Source organism: Homo sapiens, chromosome 8, assembly GCF_000001405.40.
Source record: "Homo sapiens chromosome 8, GRCh38.p14 Primary Assembly".
NCBI lineage: Eukaryota > Metazoa > Chordata > Mammalia > Primates > Hominidae > Homo > Homo sapiens.
In genome coordinates, this window is record NC_000008.11 from 56,123,961 (window position 1) to 56,143,087 (window position 19,127).

General features: G+C 39.2%; 1 annotated feature.

The window, feature by feature from the left end:
* Positions 18,256 to 18,798: an enhancer, noted in NCBI's record as "H3K4me1 hESC enhancer chr8:57054775-57055317 (GRCh37/hg19 assembly coordinates)". NCBI's record gives its function as "activates a minimal SCP1, AML or CMV promoter by ChIP-STARR-seq in naive H9 embryonic stem cells {active_cell/tissue: H9 hESC(naive)}" and the evidence as "EXISTENCE:reporter gene assay evidence [ECO:0000049][PMID:30033119]".

Consider the following 19,127-nt stretch of genomic DNA (forward strand, 5'->3'; position numbering starts at 1 on the left):
TAAGAACCATACTCCAAAGTAGGCAAGAAGTTAGTTCCTAGAGAACTAGGAAGCAGGAGCTATGGCAGTGGTCCCAGCAGAAAGCTAGGCCAGAATACCACCACTGGATTGATTCTTCAGCCCTTCCTTTAGTCTTCAAAGGAAGCAACCCACAGGCCAATTTTGTTCATTTTCTGACTTCCTGGCTGTACCAGTGTACCGATAGGTACACTGGTACATCATTTTGCCTCCTTTTTTGGGAGGCAGGCACCTAAAAATACTATTTCAACCAGACCATGAACATTTGGAGGGAAGTAATTTCTCTAAATGTGCAGCCAAAGGCAACGAATGTCCTCTGCATTTACCAGGGGATGCACCTCTGGCAAAGACTAGAGCAATAGAGGGGAGTGGAGGTTTAAGCTACCCCAGGATACCTAATTCCTGCATTCAGCTGTAATGGGTCTCAGTCCTCTAAGCCCCTCGTGCTATTTCATGCTGATTGTTTCGGTTACAATAGAGGATTCTGGCGGGGCGTGGTGGCTCAAGCCTGTAATCCCAAAACTTTGGGAGGCTGAGGCGATAGGATCACTTGAGCCCCAGAGTTTGAGACCAGCCTGGGCAACAAACACCCCGTCTCTACTAAAAGTTAAAAAAAAAAATTGCCTGCCGTGGTGGCACACACCTATAGTCCTAGCTACTAAGGAGACTGAGGTGGGAGGATTGCTTGAGCCCAGGAGGTTGAGGCTGCAGTGAGCCGAGATCTTGCCACTGCACTCCAGCCTGGGTGACAAAGTGAGACCCTGTCTCAAGAAAAAGAATAGAGGATTCCAAAGACTCTAGTTTTGAATAACCCAGTTACAGTCCCTCCCAAAATTTACTCTCCACCCATTCAAGGATAGTTTCTTTTTCCCCTCGGGACTATAATAAATCGTTCTTACATCACTCCTGGGAAGGGGAGAGTGACCCTGTGATGACAGGTAATGCACCAGGCCTGTGCGGCTTGCTTGGAGTGTCAGCACGATTTAGTCAAATTGCACACTCATGGCTCCATAAGTTCCAGTGGCTGTGGAGGTTCTTTTCACTTCTTAGGGTCTTCAGGCCTGGCTGATCATCATATTCCATTTCTCTTGGTTATCATGATTGGTGCAATGTGTCTCAGTTGCTGGAATATTCTACAGCAATGAAGAAACAGTGCCCTTAGGAGTATGCTTGTCTGAGAATAAAATGATTGTAAAATAAGGCAGAACAAACAATGTTTGAACTCTTAAGACTAATTCCGCATAAAGTTAGAGCTCTTCATGGACACATCAGTTCTGTGATCCAGGAAATAAATTATCTTTGGATAAATAGCGAGTGTGGGGAAGACCTGATTGGGATTGAGATAGAATTTCCCCATAGGGGCCAAGTGCAGTGGCTCACAGCTGTAACCCCAGCACTTTGGGAGGCCAAGGTGGGTGGATCACGAGGTCAGGAGTTCAAGACCAGCCTGGCCAACATGGTGAAACTCCATCTCTACTAAAAATACAAAAATTAGCTGGCCATGGAGGCGCATTCCTGTAATCCCAGCTACTCAGGAGGCTGAGGCAGGAGAATTGCTTGACCCGGGAGGTGGAAGTTGCAGTGAGCTGAGATTGAGCCACTGCACCCCAGCCTGGGCTACAGAGCGAGACTCCATCTCAAAAATAAAAAAAAAACAAAAATTTCCCTATAGGTAGGTGAGATAGGAACCTCCTGCTCACCACCATCTCCCTTTCTCACCTAGCTCCTGTCACCCAGAGGCAACTATTTTCAAATTTTTGAGATGGATGTTTGGGTATTTACCTTCTGTTTTGGCATACACTTTTGTAGCTCTCCTATTCCAAAGTTGATGGCTGTTATGCCTACTACTTAGTTACCGTTTTGGGTTTTCTCTTTACTTTTTAAAATTTTGTTTTATTTATTTATTTTTTTGAGACAGACTCTCACTCTGTTGCCCAGGCTAGAGTGCAGTGGCACGATCTCAGCTCATTGCAACCTCTGACTCCTGGGTTCAAGCAATTCTCCCACCTCAGCCTCCCAAGTAGCTGGGATTACAGGTACATGCCACCAAGCCCGGCTAATTTTTGTATTTTTAATAGAGACAGGGTTTCACCATGTTGGCTAGACTGGCCTTGAACTTCTGACCTCAAGTAACCCGCCCACCTGAGCTTCCCAAAGTGCTGGGATTACAGACGTGAGCCACCGTGCCTGGCCTCCCTTTACTTTTATTCCTAGAATTCTCTTGGTTTGGATTCACTTTTTCCTGAATCCCATGCCTTCCTCTCATCTGATTTATTTTCTTTCTATTTATTTATTTATTTATTTGAGACAAGATCTCACTTTGTTACTCAGGCTGGAGCGTAGTGGCGTGAACTGGGTTCACTGCAGCCTCAACTTCCTGGGCTCAAGTGATTCTCCCACCTCAGCCTCCCGAGTAGCTGGGACTACATGCTCGTGCCATCACACCCAGCTAATTTTTGTATTTTTTGTAGATATGGGGTCTCACTATGTTGCTCAGGCTGATCTCAAACTCCTGAGCTCAGGCCATCTGCCCACCTCGGCCTCCCGAAGTATTGGGATTACAGGCATGAGCCAGCATGCCCGGCCTATTTTCTTATTTTGGTGAAATACATCCTTCAGTAGCTTCCTGAAAAAGAATACATGGGAGATCATTTGTTCCAGTCCCTACATGCCTGATAATGTGTTTTACTCTGACATTTGATTAATAATTTGGTCCAAATTGTATATTGAAATTAATTTTCTCTCACAATTTTAAGAACATCTATGGAGAAGTCTAATGCTTGCCTCCTGGTACTCTGCATGTAACTAACTTTTTTTTGTGTGGAAGATTTTAGGATATTCTCTGAATTAGATATCTATTTTGGCAAAACAAATTATCCCTAAACTTAGTGGGTTTGATTTAACGTTTATTATCTCATTATTTCCATTTGGTCAGGAATCTACGTTCAGTTTAGCTAGGCCCTCTGGCTCAGGGACTCTCAAAACACTGCAATCAGGGTTTCAGCTGGGGCTGCAGTAAGGTTTGATATAATTAATATAATTTTCTTCTGCTTTCACAGACTTCTCATCAAGCTGGAGATAATGAAATAATATTTAAACTGTTGAGAGAGAAAAAATAAGCATCGACCTACCATTTTTTATCTAGCAAAAATATTGTTTAGAAATGAAGATGAAAGAGAGTTTTTCAGGCAAATGGAAACTGAGATAATTTGTCGCCTATAGACCTGCACTATCAAAAATACAAAAAGAGAAATGATACCAGATAGAAACCTGGACACATACAGAGCAATAAAGAATATTGGAAATGGTAAATATGGGCTAAAGTAAAAGATTTTTCTTATTTTTCAACTGTCTCTAGAAGACAATTGAATATTTAAAATAGTAGTAGTAGTAATAATAATAATGCATTGTTGGATTTGAAGCATATGTAGAAAGCATGATGACAATGGCACAAAGGAAAGGAAGGGAAAATGGAAGCCTGTTGTTCTAAGGTTCACATTATAACTGAAGTAACATAGTATTTTATGAAGGTAGACTATCGTAAGTTAAGGATATATATTGAAACCTTAGAAGAACCATTAAAACAGTAAAACTAGGAGGTATAGCTAATAATCCAAGAGTGGAGGTTAAAAAAAATCCCAAAACTTAATAAACCCAAAAAAGGGTGGGGAAAAAAGGAACAAAATATCTATATAATATATAGAAAGGTAATAGTTAGATGATATATTTAAACCCAAACCTGTCAATAATTAAATTAAACATAAGTGGTCTAAACAGTCCAATTAAAAGGCAGAGATTGTTGGACTGAATAAAAATAGGTAAACCCAACTATATTTTGTTTATAAGAAAACTAAGTTAAATATAAATATCCCTATAAAGCAAAAGTAAAAGAATAGAAAATGATAAAATACTAGTTAAAGACTAATGAAAAGAAAGTTGGAAGGGCTATATTAACAGCAAGAAAAAGCATAACTTAAAATAGAACTTTTACTAGGAATTAAGAAGGATACTTCAGAATGGTAAAGGAATCAAGGAACGTAGTAATCCTAAATGGGCATGATAGAGCTTCAAAATTAATAAAGCAAAAAAGATGAAACAGAAAGATACTATCTATAATTATAGTTGAAGATAAACACTCTTCCTTCAGTGATTGGTAAAACAAGCAGACAAAAAATGTCAGTTATACAGAAAAGGGGAACAACACTTGTGTTAGAGTTCTCCAGAGAAACAGAATCAACAGGATTGATCTGTCAATCTATCTATCTATCTATCATCTATCTATCTATCTATCATCTGTCAACATTTAAGGAATTGACTTATAATTGTAGGGGCTTGACAAGTCCAAAATCTGTAGGGTAGGCTGGCAGGCTGGAGACTCAGGGAAGAGTTGTCAGGTCCACAGGCAGTTTCCTGGCAAAACTCTTTCTTGCTTGGAGGAGGCTAGTGTTTGTTCTATTAAGGCCTTCAGCTAACTGGATACATCAGCCTACTCACGTTATGAAGGGTGATCTGCTTAATTCAAAGTCCACTGATTCAAATGTTAATTTCATAGAAAACAAAAGTGATGTTTCCCACAGAAGCATCCAGACTAACATTTGACCTAGTATCTGGACACTGTGGCCCAGCAAGCTAAGATATTATACATAAAGTTAATCATCACAACTCTGATCAGACTTGACCCAAAAACTGACAAACTACATATTCTTTTTAAGTTTGCATGGAACATTTACCAAGACAAGCCATAAAACCAGTGTCACTAGATTTAAAAGGATTAATATCAAACAGAGTGCTCCTCACATCACAATGAAGTTAAATTAATTAAGAGGAAGATATCTGGAAGCTCCCTAAATATGTGGAAATTAGATCATTAACTTCCAAATAATTAATGAATTTAAGAAGAAATCACAAAGAATGTTATAAAATATTTTTAACTGAATAAAAATGAAAACTTGATATATCAAAAATTTTTGGTAGGTAGCTAAAGCAGTGCTTAGTGAAAAGCTTATAGCTTTAAGTGTTTATATTAGAAAAAGAAGTCTAAAGTAATTCATGTAAGTTTTCATCTTAAACTAGAAATAGAGTAAATAATGGAAGGTAACCAATAGAAAAAGTAAATGAAACAAAGAAGTTGCTTTATTTTTAAAAATCAGTAAAATTGATAAACTTCTAGCTAGACTGCTCAAGAAAAATTGAAAGTAAACACAAATTATGAATATTTGGTATGAATAAGAGCATATCACTATAGAGCCTAAGACCTTAAAAGGATATTAAAGAAATAGTATGAACAACTTGATGCTAATATATTTGACAATTTAAGTAAAATGGACACATTCCTTTAGAAAAAAATTACCAAAACTGGGCCAGGTGCAGTGGCTCACACCTGTAATCCCAGCACTTTGCAGGGCTGAAGTGCGAGGATCACCTGAAGTCAGGAGTTTGAGACAAGCCTGGCCAACATGGTGAAATACCATCTCTACTAAAAATTACAAAAAAATTAGCCGGGTATGGTGGATTACATGCCTGTAATCCCAGCTACTTGGGAGGCTGAGCCAGAAGAATTGCTTGAACCTGGGAGGTGGAGGTTGCAGTGATCTGAGATCGTGCCACTGTACTCCAGCCTGGGCGACAGAGCAAGACTCTGTCTCAAAAAAAAAAAAAAAAAAAAAAAAAAATTACCAAAACTGACTACAGAAGAAATAAAAAATTGAATAGCCTTACATTTGTTAAATAATTTTTATTTATAATTAAAGATATTTTTATAAAGAATACTCTAGGACCATAAGGCTTCACAGGTTAATTGTATTAAATATTTAAGGAAAAAATAATACCAATCTTATTCATAGTCTTTCAGAAAATAGAGGCGTATCCATTTTTCTAACTCATTTTAAGAAATAGCATCATTCTAATATCAAAAGCAAACAAGGACATTGCAAAGAAGAAGGGGAAGAAGGAAGAGGAAGAGGAGGAGAAAGGGAAGCAGGAGATGGAGAAGAAGGAAGGCAGGTACAGTGCAATATTTCTCATGAACATAAACACAATTTTTAAAAAAGTATTAACAGGCTGGGCTTGGTGGCTCTCACCCGTAATCCCAGCACTTTGGAAGGCCAAGGCGGGTGGATCACAAGGTCAGGAGTTCGAGACCAGCCTGACCAACATGGTGAAACCCTGTCTCTGTAGCAGAGAATGGTGGTGCATGCCTGTAATCCCAGCTACTCAGGAGACTGAGGCAGGAGAATCACTTGAACCCAGGAGGCGGAGGTTGCAGTGAGCTGCGATCGCGCCACTGCACTCCAGCCTGAGCAACAAAGCGAGACACTATCTCAAAAAAAAAAAGGTATTAACAAATTAAATTTAGTAATATATACAAAAGATACTATATTGTAATCAAGTAGAGTTTATTCCAGAAATCCAAGGTTGAATTAACTTTAAAAAGTCAACTAATTAAGTCACTAAGTTAATGAATAAAGGGGACAAACTATTGTCATTTTAATAGATGCAAAAAAAAGCACATAACATTTAAATCCATTTAAGATGTCTAAGCAAACTAGTAATAAAAGGCAACTCCCTCAACCTGATAAAGGGCATCTGAAAAACACCTGGAGCTAACATCATGCTTAATAGTAAAAGACTGAATTATTTCATCCAAAGATTGAGAACAAGGCAAAAATGTCTGCTTTCAATCTTTAAATCAACATAATACTGGATCACCTATGCAGTGCAAAATAAGGCAAAGAAAAAAAGTCATAGAGATTGGAAAGAAAGAAGTAAAACTTTCTTTATTCTTGGAAAAAATAATCATGTATATATAAACAATCTCACGAAATCTACAAAACATCTTCTAGAAATAATAAATGAGTTTAGCAGGGCAGCAGGATACAAGGGCAGTATACTAGCAATTAATTTACAATAGCATCAGAAAGCATGAACATAAAGATTAATGTAACAAAATATGTGTAGGTGTGGACCTACAAAATTGTAGGTCCACATTTGAAAATGCACCCAAAGGCAGGCACTGTGAGCTGCACAACCACACACTCATTTCCAACCCTCTTGCCTGCCTCTGTCTAGGAGCTTGAAAAAGCTACGTACCCATTTTTATTTACCTATTTATTTTGCAGCTACTCTTGCAGCTAATGGTAGTCAAAGGACCCATTTGTGGCAAATGAGAGAGATGTAGGATAATCTTCCAGGCCACTTCTGGGACAGCTACACCCTCCAGCTTCCTGCCCTGGATGTAGATATGCCGCCTGAAGCTGCGAAAACCTTCCAACCAGGAAGTGGCACACTAAGGTGACAAGTATTCTGACAGCTCTGACTGCCTACTTCCATATTTCCAGTAATATTAAATAATTGATTGCCTTTATTGCTTAAATCAAAGTTAGTTAGCCGTCCTGTTACTTACATTCCATGCTGATACATGACCTCACACAACTGGGAATAGATAGATAATGGCCCCCAAAAGATTAGGAATTCTGCTGGTCACGGTGGCTCACACCTATAATCCCAACACTTGGAAGGCCAAGGTGGGAGGATCGCTTGAAGCCAGGTGTTTAAGACCAGCCTGAGCAGTGTAGTGAGACCCTGGTTCTACAAAAAATAAAATAAAATAAAAATGGCAGATTACTTGAGGTCAGGAGTTCAAGACCAGTCTGGCCAACATAGTGAAACCCTGTCTCTACAAAAAAAAATACAAAAATGAGCCGAGTGTGGTGGCATGTGCCTGTGGTCCCAGCTACTCAGGAGGCTGAGGTGGGAGGATCGCTTGAGCTGGGAAAGCAGAAGTTGCAGTGAGCCGAGATTGTGCCATTGCCCTCCAGCCTGCATGACACAGCGAGATCCCGTCTCAAAAAAAAAAAAAAGGAAGTAAAAAAAATTAGCCAGGTATGGTGGCATGCACCTGTAGTCCTAGCTACTCAGGAGACTAGGGCATGCCAGGCTTGAGCCCAGGAGTTTGAGGTTGCAGTGAGCTATGATCACACCACTGCACTGCAGCCTAGGTGACAGAGTGAGACCCTGTCTTTAACAACAACAACAACAAAAGGACAGGAAGTCTCATTTGGGAGTCTCGCAATTCTAATTGAGTGAATGCAGTTTCTCTTCATTCTCCTTCCTCATCTCAGTTCGGAAGAGCTCCTATAGAACCCCTTAAATCTGATGTCCATATGGAGAATAAGCACTTACAGAGTAAGGGAGGCTAAATCTGGGACTTGCACTCAACAGACAGTGCCCTGAGTGTCTGCGGAGTCCCTTCCCCACCTTACTCCAGAGGGTCCAGGAGGCCACAGTGGGGAGCAGAGGTGGCCCCCAGGAGTATGCACTGCTGTGTTTAGAGTCTTCGCAGCCTTTGTTTGATGATTTAAGTGAAGTTGCTGAGAGGTTTAAGAATTGGGAAATAATCCTTTTGTATCTCTTATAATTGCTATTAAATCATAAATTTCCTGTAATTAATAGAACTCAGGAGCAAGTGGTGACCACGGCATTTTTTCAGGGTCTGATCTCAGTCAATGGAGTGGCATTAACACCCATGTGTTTCATAAATGTTAGAACTGCTGTTTTCTAGAGACAACTGTACATTCTCTTCTCCCACCTGCAGGGATTGAGCTTCTTAGTATTTGGACTTATTGTGCCAAAATTGGTTTTCATCTAAACAAACCAACAATTCTAGATAGCTAATAGCCCCAATCACCTTTCCATTAACTGCTGGAATTTGACAGGTGCCCCAGAAATACCTTCGGACATTCATTTGAAATTTAAATGAAGGGGACACATTTAGGCAGCTCTAGAAACATGAAGGCAGCTCTAGCTTTGCCCTCCTCAGCCCAGCCATAAGCGTAGCCCCTTGTGTTACTCATCAAGTCCAGTATGAGAACCAGCAAGCTGGCCAATGCATTGTGCACTTAGGAACAATGCACTCATCTATTTTAGGCCCCTGTTCTGAGTGCAAAGCTCTATCCATAGTGATTTCCTGATTTCTTCCTGATCACTACAGTGCAGGGTGAGGGGAATGGATAAGGTCTCTCAATTTTACATGCCATATCATTAATAGACCATTAAAAAAAAAAGATTTAGGTGGTACAAGTGCATAATCAGCATAGCAATTGATGTAGAAGAACTATTTGAAAAATCCAACACCCATTCATGATTAACTCTTTAAAAACTAGCAATAGAAGGGGAATATCTTCAAATTGATACAGGGTATTTATAAAAACCTACACTGAATGGCATACTTAATGGTAAAAGCTGAATATGTTCCCCTTGTGATCAAGAACAATACAAGGATGTCTGCTCTTAACACTCTTATTCAACATAGCATGAGAAGTTGTAGCCAGCGCAGTAAAGCAAGAAAAGAAAATAAGTCAAAAAGATCATATAGGAAGAAACAAAATTGTTCCTATTTGCTAATGACATACTTAGATATATAGAAATCCCCTCGAAACTTACAAAAAATAAAAATAAACCCTAGAGCTAATAAGTGAGTTTAGCAAGGTCACATGATACAAGATAAACATAAAATAATCAATTGCACTTCAATTGTTCATTGGTAATTACCAATGAGCATGTGCACACCAAAATTAAAAATACGGTCCCACTTACAATCATTAAAAAATACTAAAGTGTAAATCTAAAAAAAAAGTACAGAACTTGTATACTATGTACTACAAAACTACAAATCACTGATGAAAGAAATCAAAGAAGACCTAAATAAATGGTGAGACATACCACGGTTCATGGATTGGAAGACTCTATAGTAAATATTTCAATTCCCAAATGGATATTCAGGTGTAACATAATTCCAGCAAGACTTTTTTGCAGACATAGACAACAATATTTTAAATTTAGATGGGACTGCAAAGAAATCAGAAGAGCTAAGACAATTCTGAAAGGCAAGAATAAGAATGAGAGGAATCTGTCTACTCCATCTCAAGACTGATTTTATAGCTATACCAATTAAGATTGTGTAGTATTGGCAGAGGGATAAACACATAGATGAATAAAGCAGAATAGGGAACCCGGAAAGATATCCACACAAATGTGCCCAAATGATTTTTGACAAAGATTCACAAGTAATTAAAAACAGGAAAGATGGCTGGGTGCGGTGGCTCACGCCTGTAATCTCAGCACTTTGGAAGGCTGAGGTGGGCGGATCACCTGAGGTCAGGAGTTCTAGACCAGCCTGACCAACATGGCGAAACCCTGTCTCTACTAAAACTACAAAACTAGCTGGGTGTGGTGGCGCATGCCTGTAATTCCAGCTACTCAGGAGGCTGAGGCAGGAGAATCACTTGAACCCAGGAGACAGAGGTTGCGATGAGCCAAGGTCGCGCCACTGCACTCCATCTGGGAAACAAGAGCAAAACTCCATCTCAAACAAACAAACAAACAAACCCAGGAAAGACTACCTTTTCAGTGAATGATTTCTGGAGCAATTGGACATCTATAGGCAAAAAAAGAAATCTTTCCCTGAGTTTCACATTTTATACAAAAATTAACTTAAAATGGATCAAGGACTTAATATAAAATGTAAAACTATAAAACTTTTAGGGAAAGAAATAATAAGATAAATCTGCAAGAACTAATGTTACGCCAAAATTTCTTAGACTGGACACCAAAAACATGATCCACAAAAGAAAAAGTTAATAAATTAGACTTCATAAAAACTTAAAATGTTTGCTCTACAAAAGACCTTGTTAAGAGGGTGAAAATATAAATTACAGACTGGGAGAAAACACATATCCACACACCACATATTTTCAAACCACATATCCAACAAAGAACTAGTCTAAGGAATATATTAAGAACTCTCAAAGCTTAGCAGTTAAAAAAAAACTCAATCTAAATAGGCAAAAGACAAAAAGAGACATTTCATGCATGAGGATGTACAGATGACAATCACATGCAAAGATGTGTTATTAGAGAAACTTACTATCATTAGGAATATTTATTTTCTCTCACACCTTGCTTTGTCTTTGTCTACAGCATTTATCATCACAGTATGTATCATGTATTTATTTGTTTCTTTATTGTCTGTCCCCCTCCAGTAAAATGTAATCTCTATGTGGGTGGGAACCCTGGGTTCTGTTCACTGCTTTTTCACCAGGACCAGAATTGTGCCTGGCTGGTGGTAACCACTCAGTACATATTTGTGGAATGAATGAATACATGCCCTTGCACGTTTAAATGGAACTCAGCTGTAAGTTTTATCCATGGGGTCCTGGTTTTTTAAAATAATAGATTTTTAAATCACTTTTCCTTTCTTGTCTGTAGTAATTTAGTTCAATTTTCTACTCCTTGGGTAATTAATACTTTGCTCAAAAACTATCAGTGTCCTCTACATTTCCAAAATAATTTCCATAGATTTAGTAGTCTCTTATAATTCTTTTACTCTATCTTTTTTAAATCTCTTTTTTATAAGGCTCAACATGAGTTTTCTACTTTATCATTTTTTTGTTTAATGAATTAATTTTGCATTTATTTTTTGTTGTATTTTTACCTCATTGAATTCACGTTATTTTTATCTATTTAATTTATTCAGATTCATTTTATTGTCTTTTTTCCCTAATTTCTTAAGGTTATGTATTAGTTATGATGAAGACTAAATTGCTGTAGAAAGAGGATCCCAAAACGTCTTTATTTCTTTTTTCATGGAACAGTCCAGGAGGGGTAGGTGATCTATTCTACATATTTATTTCAGGAACACAGGCAAACAGGATGATGCTGCCACTCTCTAAGGTAGGGATTAGCACTCTACAGCATGCAGACAAATTCTACCTGTGGCTTGTTTTGCAAATAAAGTTTTATTGGAATGCAACCACGCTAATTTGTTTACATACTGCCTGTGGATGCTTTTGATCTATAATGGCAGAGCTGAGTAGTTATGGCAGAGAGTTATGGCAGAGTTGAGTAGTTATGGCCCACAAAAACGAAATTATTTTCCCTCTGGCCATTTTCGAAAGAGCTTGCTGATGCTGCTGTAAGGCAGTGTCCAGTCTGCATAATCAAAACTGGGTCACCAACATGTCCTGGCTGTTTTCAGCTTGTGGGGAGAGAAAAGGAAATGTGGAGAAGTCATGTCCACTGTACCAAGAAGTGGTACACAGCCTTCCACTCACATTTTACTGGTGAAACTATGTCACATGGCCACATCTAGCTGCAAGGGAATCTGGGGACTGCAGTGTAGTTGGGCATCAGCTACACACACCACGACCCACCTACTATTCTTTCACTGTGGTAAAAGGAGAGAATGGAGTTTGGAGGATGCCTACCATTTCCTCCTTAGATAAACAGAAAGTGCCTATATTTTCTGTCTTTCTTCTTTAATAATGAAGAAATGTCAAACAATGATTTTTTTTTCCAGAACAACTTCTTTGACTCAGAGGTTCTGGTATGACAGCCTCCTTTTCATTGTGCTTTTTTAAGGTAGTTTGTAATTTCAGTTTGGAATTCTTCTTTAAGGAATATTTTGGAGGATGTTTCTTAGTTTTCAAATACTTACGTAATTTTTAAAGTCATATTTTGATTATTTATTTATATTTGTTAAGAGAATGTGTCCCTAAAATGTATACTTCTCCAAATGTGTTTATGACCAAATGAATAAGGAATTTTGTAATACCTGGACACACATATGGGTGTGTATGTATTCCTTTTTCAAATGACAAAGATTTATCTAATAACTACACACGTTTGATTACATTATGTCCTTTCTTATTTTTGTCTTTTATATCTAATTCTGAAAGATTTATTAAACTCCCTCATTCTAATATAATTTTTAGAATTAAGTTTTTGCATTTCTAATAATTTCCATTTATATATTTACCTGTCATGTTTTTAAATTTAAGTTTATTATATTTTCCTATTTATTTATTTATTGAGACAGGGCCTCACCTTGTCCCCCAGGCTGGACAGTGGCGCATCCTCAGCTCACTTTAGCCTTGACCTCCTGGGTTCGAGGGATCCTCCTGCCTCAGCCCCCCAAGTACCTGGGACAATAGGCACATGCCCAGCTAATTTTTGGTTTTTTGTAGAGACAGGGTTTTACCATGTTGCCCAGGTTGGTCTCAAACTCCTGAGCACAAGTGATTCACCTGCCTCAGCCTCCCAAATTGCTAGGATTATAGATGTGAGCCATTGCACCTTGCCAAGTTTATTATATTTGCTTTAAACATTGTTCATTTAATGTTATTTGTATCCATGTGTTTCTTTTTGAATATTTAATCTTAAATCTGTTTTCTGATATTAATAATTTGTGATTGTGATGTCTTTTTCCTAGTATTCATTTATCGTAGTATTCACTTTTTTCCTAAGCCTTATATCTCTAGTAAGAAAAAAAGAAAAAATGCCTTACTAGAGAAGGTAAATGAGGATAATAAAATATGCTCTGTCTTTTATAAGGCTGAAAGAAGATAATGGCTGGGAGAGTTTTGTAAATCATAAAGAACTACACATGTAACAAATATTGTTCATTCTGCCACTGGGTCTGTGGACATGCCTAAGTTGTTGTTCTCTGACTTCAATTATACATTTCTGGGCAGATCAGATCTATTATCTATTAATTATCTATCTATCAATCAATCATCAATCTATCCATTATCTATCTATCCATTATCTATCTATCTATCTATCTATCTATCTATCTATCTATCATCTAGATTATGATTCTAACCAATTTAGTCATTAGCAGTGGGCTGTATCTACTATTCCAACATAACTATATCACACACCTGCCCGTTTTCATTGCCAATACCAGATAGAATATTTATGCCATTATTATTTTGGAACCCATAAAGTATAGAGTGAAAAGTATGTTTATTTTTATTTTCCTACTATTGTTATCTAAAAACATACACAGTGTTTCAAGAAAACAAGCTACTGTGAAGCATCAAATAAGAAATACTCTGGTTGGGGGCTGAGGTGGGAAGGCAGCACTTTTTTTTTTTTACATCAATGTTTATTTTAAGTTCCGGGGTACATATGCGGGATGTGCAGGTTTGTTACATAGGTAAACGTGTGCCATGGTGATTTGCTGCACAGATCAACCCATCACCTAGGTATTAAGCCAAGCATCCATTAGCTATTCTTCCTGATGCTGTCCCTTGCCCTGCAGCCCCGACAGGGCCCAGTGTGTGCTGTTCCCTCCCCGTATGTCCATGTGTTCTCATCCTTCAGCTCCCACTTATAAGTGAGAACATGCAGTGTCTGGTTTTCTGTTCCTTTGTTAATTTCCTGAGGATAATGGCTTCCAGCTCCATTCATGTCCCTGCAAAGGACACGATCTCATTCCTTTTTATTGCTGCGTGGTATTCCAGGGTGTAAATGTACCACAGTTTCTTTATCCAGTCTATCACTGATGGGCATTTGGATTGATTCCATGTCTTTGCTATTGTGAATAGTGCTACAATAAACATACATGTGCATGTATTTTTATAATACAATGAATTATATTCCTTTAGGTATATATCTAGTAATGGGATTGCTGGGTCAAATGGTATTTCTGCTTCTAGATCTTTGAGGAATCACGACACTGTCTTCCACAATGGTTGGAGTAATTTACATCCCCACTAACAGTATAAAAGATTTCCTTTTTCTCTGCACCGCGACAGCATCTGTTGTTTCTTGAGTTTTTAATAATCATCATTCTGACTGGCATGAGATGGTATCTCATTATTGTTTTGATTTGCATATCTATCTCTAATGAGAAATTTCTCTAGAACTTTTTTTCATGTTGGTTGGCTGCATGAATGTCTTCTTTTGAGAAGTGTCTGTTCGTGTCCTTTGCCCACTTTTTAATGGGATTTTTTTTTCTTGTAAATTTGTTTAAGTTCCTAGTAGACTCTGGATGTTAGACCTTTTTCAGATTGATAGATTGCAAAAATTTTCTCCCATTCCGTAGGTTGTCTATTTACTCTGATGATAGTTTCTTTTGCTGTGAAGAAGCTCTTTAGTTTAATTAGATCTCATTTGTCAGTTTTTGCTTTTGTTGTAATTGCTTTTGGTGTTTTTGTCATGAAATCTTTGCCCATGCCTATATCCTGAATGGTATTGCCTAGGGTTTCTTCTAGGGTTTGTATTGCTTTGGGTTTTACATTTAAGTCTTTAATCCATCTTGAGTGAATTTTTGTATAAGGTATAAGGAGGGGTTCCAGTTTCAATTTTCTGCATATGGCTAGACAGTTCGTTCAGCAATATTTATTAAAGAGGGAATCATTTCCCCATTGCTTGTTTTTGTCAGGTATGTCGAAGATCAGATGGTTGTAGGTATGCAGTCTTATTTATGAGTGTTTTATTCTGTTCCATTGGTCTATTTGTCTGTTTTTGTACCAGTACAACGCTGTTTTGTTTACTGTAGCCTTGTAGTATACTTTGAAGTCAGGTAGGGTGATGCCCCCAGCTTTGTTCTTTTTGTTTAGGATTGACCTGGCTATACGGGCTCTTTTTTGGTTCCATATGAATTTTAAAATAGTTTTTTTCTAACTCCATGAAGAATGTCAATGGTAGTTAAATGGGAATAGCATTGAATCTATAAATTACTTTGGGCACTATGGCCATTTTCATGATATTAATTCTTCCTATCCATGAGCATGGAATGTTTTCCCATTTTTTTTGTGGGTCCTCTCTGATTTCCTTGAGCAACGGTTTGTCATTCTCCTTGAAGAGGTCCTTCACTTCCTTTGTTAGGTGTATTCCTAAGTATTATACTCTGTTTGTAGCAATTATAAATGGGAGTTTATTCATGATTTGGCTCTCTGCATGTCTGTTGTTGATGTATAGGAATGCTAGCGATTTTTGCACATTGATTTTTGTATCCTGAGACTTTGCTGAAGTTACTTATCAGCTTAAGAAGCTTTTGGGCTGAGACAATGGGGTTTTCTAGATATAGGATCATGTCATCGGCAGATAAACATAATTTGACTTCCTCTCTTCCTATCTGAATACACTTTATTTCTTTCTTTTGCTTGATAACCATGGCCAGAACTTCCAATACTATGTTTAATAGGAGGGGAGCCAGGATTTTAAAATTGTTCTTAAATCACAATAAAATTATAGTTGCATGCAGGCACATGACAAAATGCCCCTAGCACAACTTCCACTGGTTCCCATGTGGTTAAAAAAATGTAAAATTACAGACTTGAAAGCTTGTTTTTTTCTCCAACATGTTTCTTCCTTATCAGTAGTCACTTCTTTTTATGTCCACAATCTAATTCCTTCTTTGTTTCTTACTAATCTTCTGGATATTAGAACAGGAATATCCATTTATTTTAAATCTTATTTTATCTCTTGGCTTTAAGTGTGGTTCTTGTAAACAACTGGCTAAGTTAAAATAATCCATTATGACAGTGTATGTCTTTTTATAGGGAAATGCAACTCATTTATTACATTTGCATTCACACTGGTACTTAAGCTTTATGTTTCACATATATATTAGTCTGGGTTTTCCAGATAGAACCAGCAGGAATACACAAACACACACACCCCTCTCTGCCATAAGGAATTGACTGATGTGATTATGGAAGCTGAGAATTGCAAGATCTGCAGTTGTCAAACTGGAGACCCAGGAGAGTCAATGGTGTAAGTTCCAGTCTGAGTCTGGTTGAGTACAAAGGGAGAAGAAGCCCATTGTCCCAGCTCAAAGTCAGTCAGGCAGAGAGAAAGAATTCTTTCTTACTCATCCTTTTATTCTATTCAGGTCTTCAATGGATTGGATGAGGCTCACCCACGATTGGGAGGACAATCTGTTTCTTCAGTCTATCAATTCAAATGTTAATCTTACCCAAAAACATCCTCGCAGACACATCCAGAAATAATGTTTAACCAAATAATTGGGCATCTCATGGCCCAGTCAAGTTGATATACAAAATTAACCATCACAAGTCTGCCCCTTGTCAACCTGGGCACCCATATACATCTCCTCAAACCATGCTTATTTCCAAATAAATATAATAACAAAGTGATAATTCTGCCTAAAAGGATACAGCTATCCTGCATACCAGCAGAAACACACTAACCCCTTCCCCAGAAGATGAGGTAAAATCCTAGAATGATGTTTACCCTTCTCCTGATATCTCATAACTTAAATACTATAATTGAAATACTTAACTACATTTAAATATTATGATATAAAGTTAATTCATGTTATGTTACATAAGGGAATTAGAAAGGGGATAAAGCAAAGGTATTTGCATATATGTGTATATGTATGTTAATGCACACAAACATATTCATAGCAAGATAAGGAGGAGTACTCATAATTACAATCCCATTTCTGTAACTGATCACATGATTGTAGCTGGTATTTGTAACTACTTACAAATACCGCTACCCATTCTGTATTCCCTGTGCCTTCAGCAAGCACTTTGGCTGGTTGTGATTCTTTACCTGGTGGGGTGAACCAAGGCTTCATTCCTGAAGGGTCTGGGCCATTAGCAGTGCTGCCTGTATTGGGTTGTTGTAATTTTACATTGACCTTAATCACAGGGCATGGTCATACTAAAGAAGCCCTAAGGTATCTCCTGTATTCCAGACATTTTCTCCCTTAGCTCTATTGCGGAGTAGTAGTCCAAATTCCCTTTAGTAATCGGGATCAATCACTGTAGCCAGATCAGTAACTCCCCTTTTTGCCTATTGATTCAGAGGCAAGGAGATCCCCAGTGGCCAGGCAGCAGTCTTTCACTCTGCAGTTTTCAAGTCCTTGATGGTGGCACCGTCTCTGCAGTCCCACCAGAGATGTGGTATTGTTTTTGATTTACTATTTTCCTAGCTAAAGTCAGCTCTAATGGCTTCCATTTGGTCTTTCCCACAATAATAACCCTCACTACACAGGTTAGGGAACTAATGTGGGGATTCTGCCAACTGCTGAGTATATCTATTTCAATTACGCCTTCCAGAACAGAGGTACACCTGATGGCAGCAGCAGCCTGTCTAGAGCAGCTGCTGCCATGACACTGGCTGCAGCAGGGCAGGCCCAGCTAGGGCTGCATGCTCCATGGAGCCACAGGGACCCGGGAACAGGTGGAAGCCCCACCCCCTTCCAAGTTAGCAGGTGAGAGCACTGCCCTTCTTGGTGCAGCTGCAGCCTCTCAGCCATGGCTGCATACTGGGCATCCCTGTACTCTCTGGGGCCCAGGAAACCCCCCTTCCCCACAGGCTTAGAAGTGCCTGGTCCTGCGGCTTGGCCTCTCCCCGCTCCTGGTGCCAGCTCCAATTTTGGAGTAAAGTTCTGGCTGAGCCCTGGATGCTGTCTGACCTGGCTAGGTGTGCACACACTTGGGGTGGCACTGACACGCCAGCCCCCTGCCGCCTCAGCCTTCTCCAGACGTTGATCACTAACGAGCTCAGGAGGGAGGCCAAGGGGGTGCTGACGGTGGGTGTGCACAGGCCTGCAGGTGCCCCTTGGCCCGAACAGCCTGGGTGTCATGGATGACGTGTAGATGGTGGCAGGAGGCAGGCAGGCTCCTGGGCGGAAGGAGGCAGGTCTCTGGTGAAGTCCCTTCAAGCCAGAGACCACCTGAATCATGGGGGTTGGGCTTTCAGTTCTGAGTGCAGTCTGCAGCCTGGAGTGAGAACTTATGGTGCTTCTTCTGGGCCCACCCATGGCTGCCCATGGACAAATCAGCTGCACTTCCTCCCTTCTGAACCCTATAAAAACCCTAGACTCAGTCATACTCACAGAGACAACATGATGACCTGCCTGCAGATAGAAGCTACCCACTCCAGGTCTCCTCTCTGCTGAGGGCTGCACATTGGTCAGGACCCTCCCTGTGGGTAGGAGCTACCCACTCTGGGTCTCCTCTCTGCTGAGAGCTGACACTCGTTGGGATGACTTGCCTGCAGATAGGAGCTATGCATTCCAGGTCCCCTGAGAGCTTTAATGTTGCTCAATAAAGAATCTCTTTGCTTTGCTTACCCTCCAGTTTTCTGCATCCCTCATTCTTCCTGGATGCAGGATAAGAACTTGGGACATGCCAAATGACAGGACTGAAAAAGCTGTAACACAAACAGGGCTGAAACACACCCCATCACTCGCCATGTTGCAGGTGACAAGAATGAGAGAAGAGCTGCAGGACATCAAGGAGCCCAGACCTAGGAGCTCCTTGGGCCAGTATTGTGATACCCTC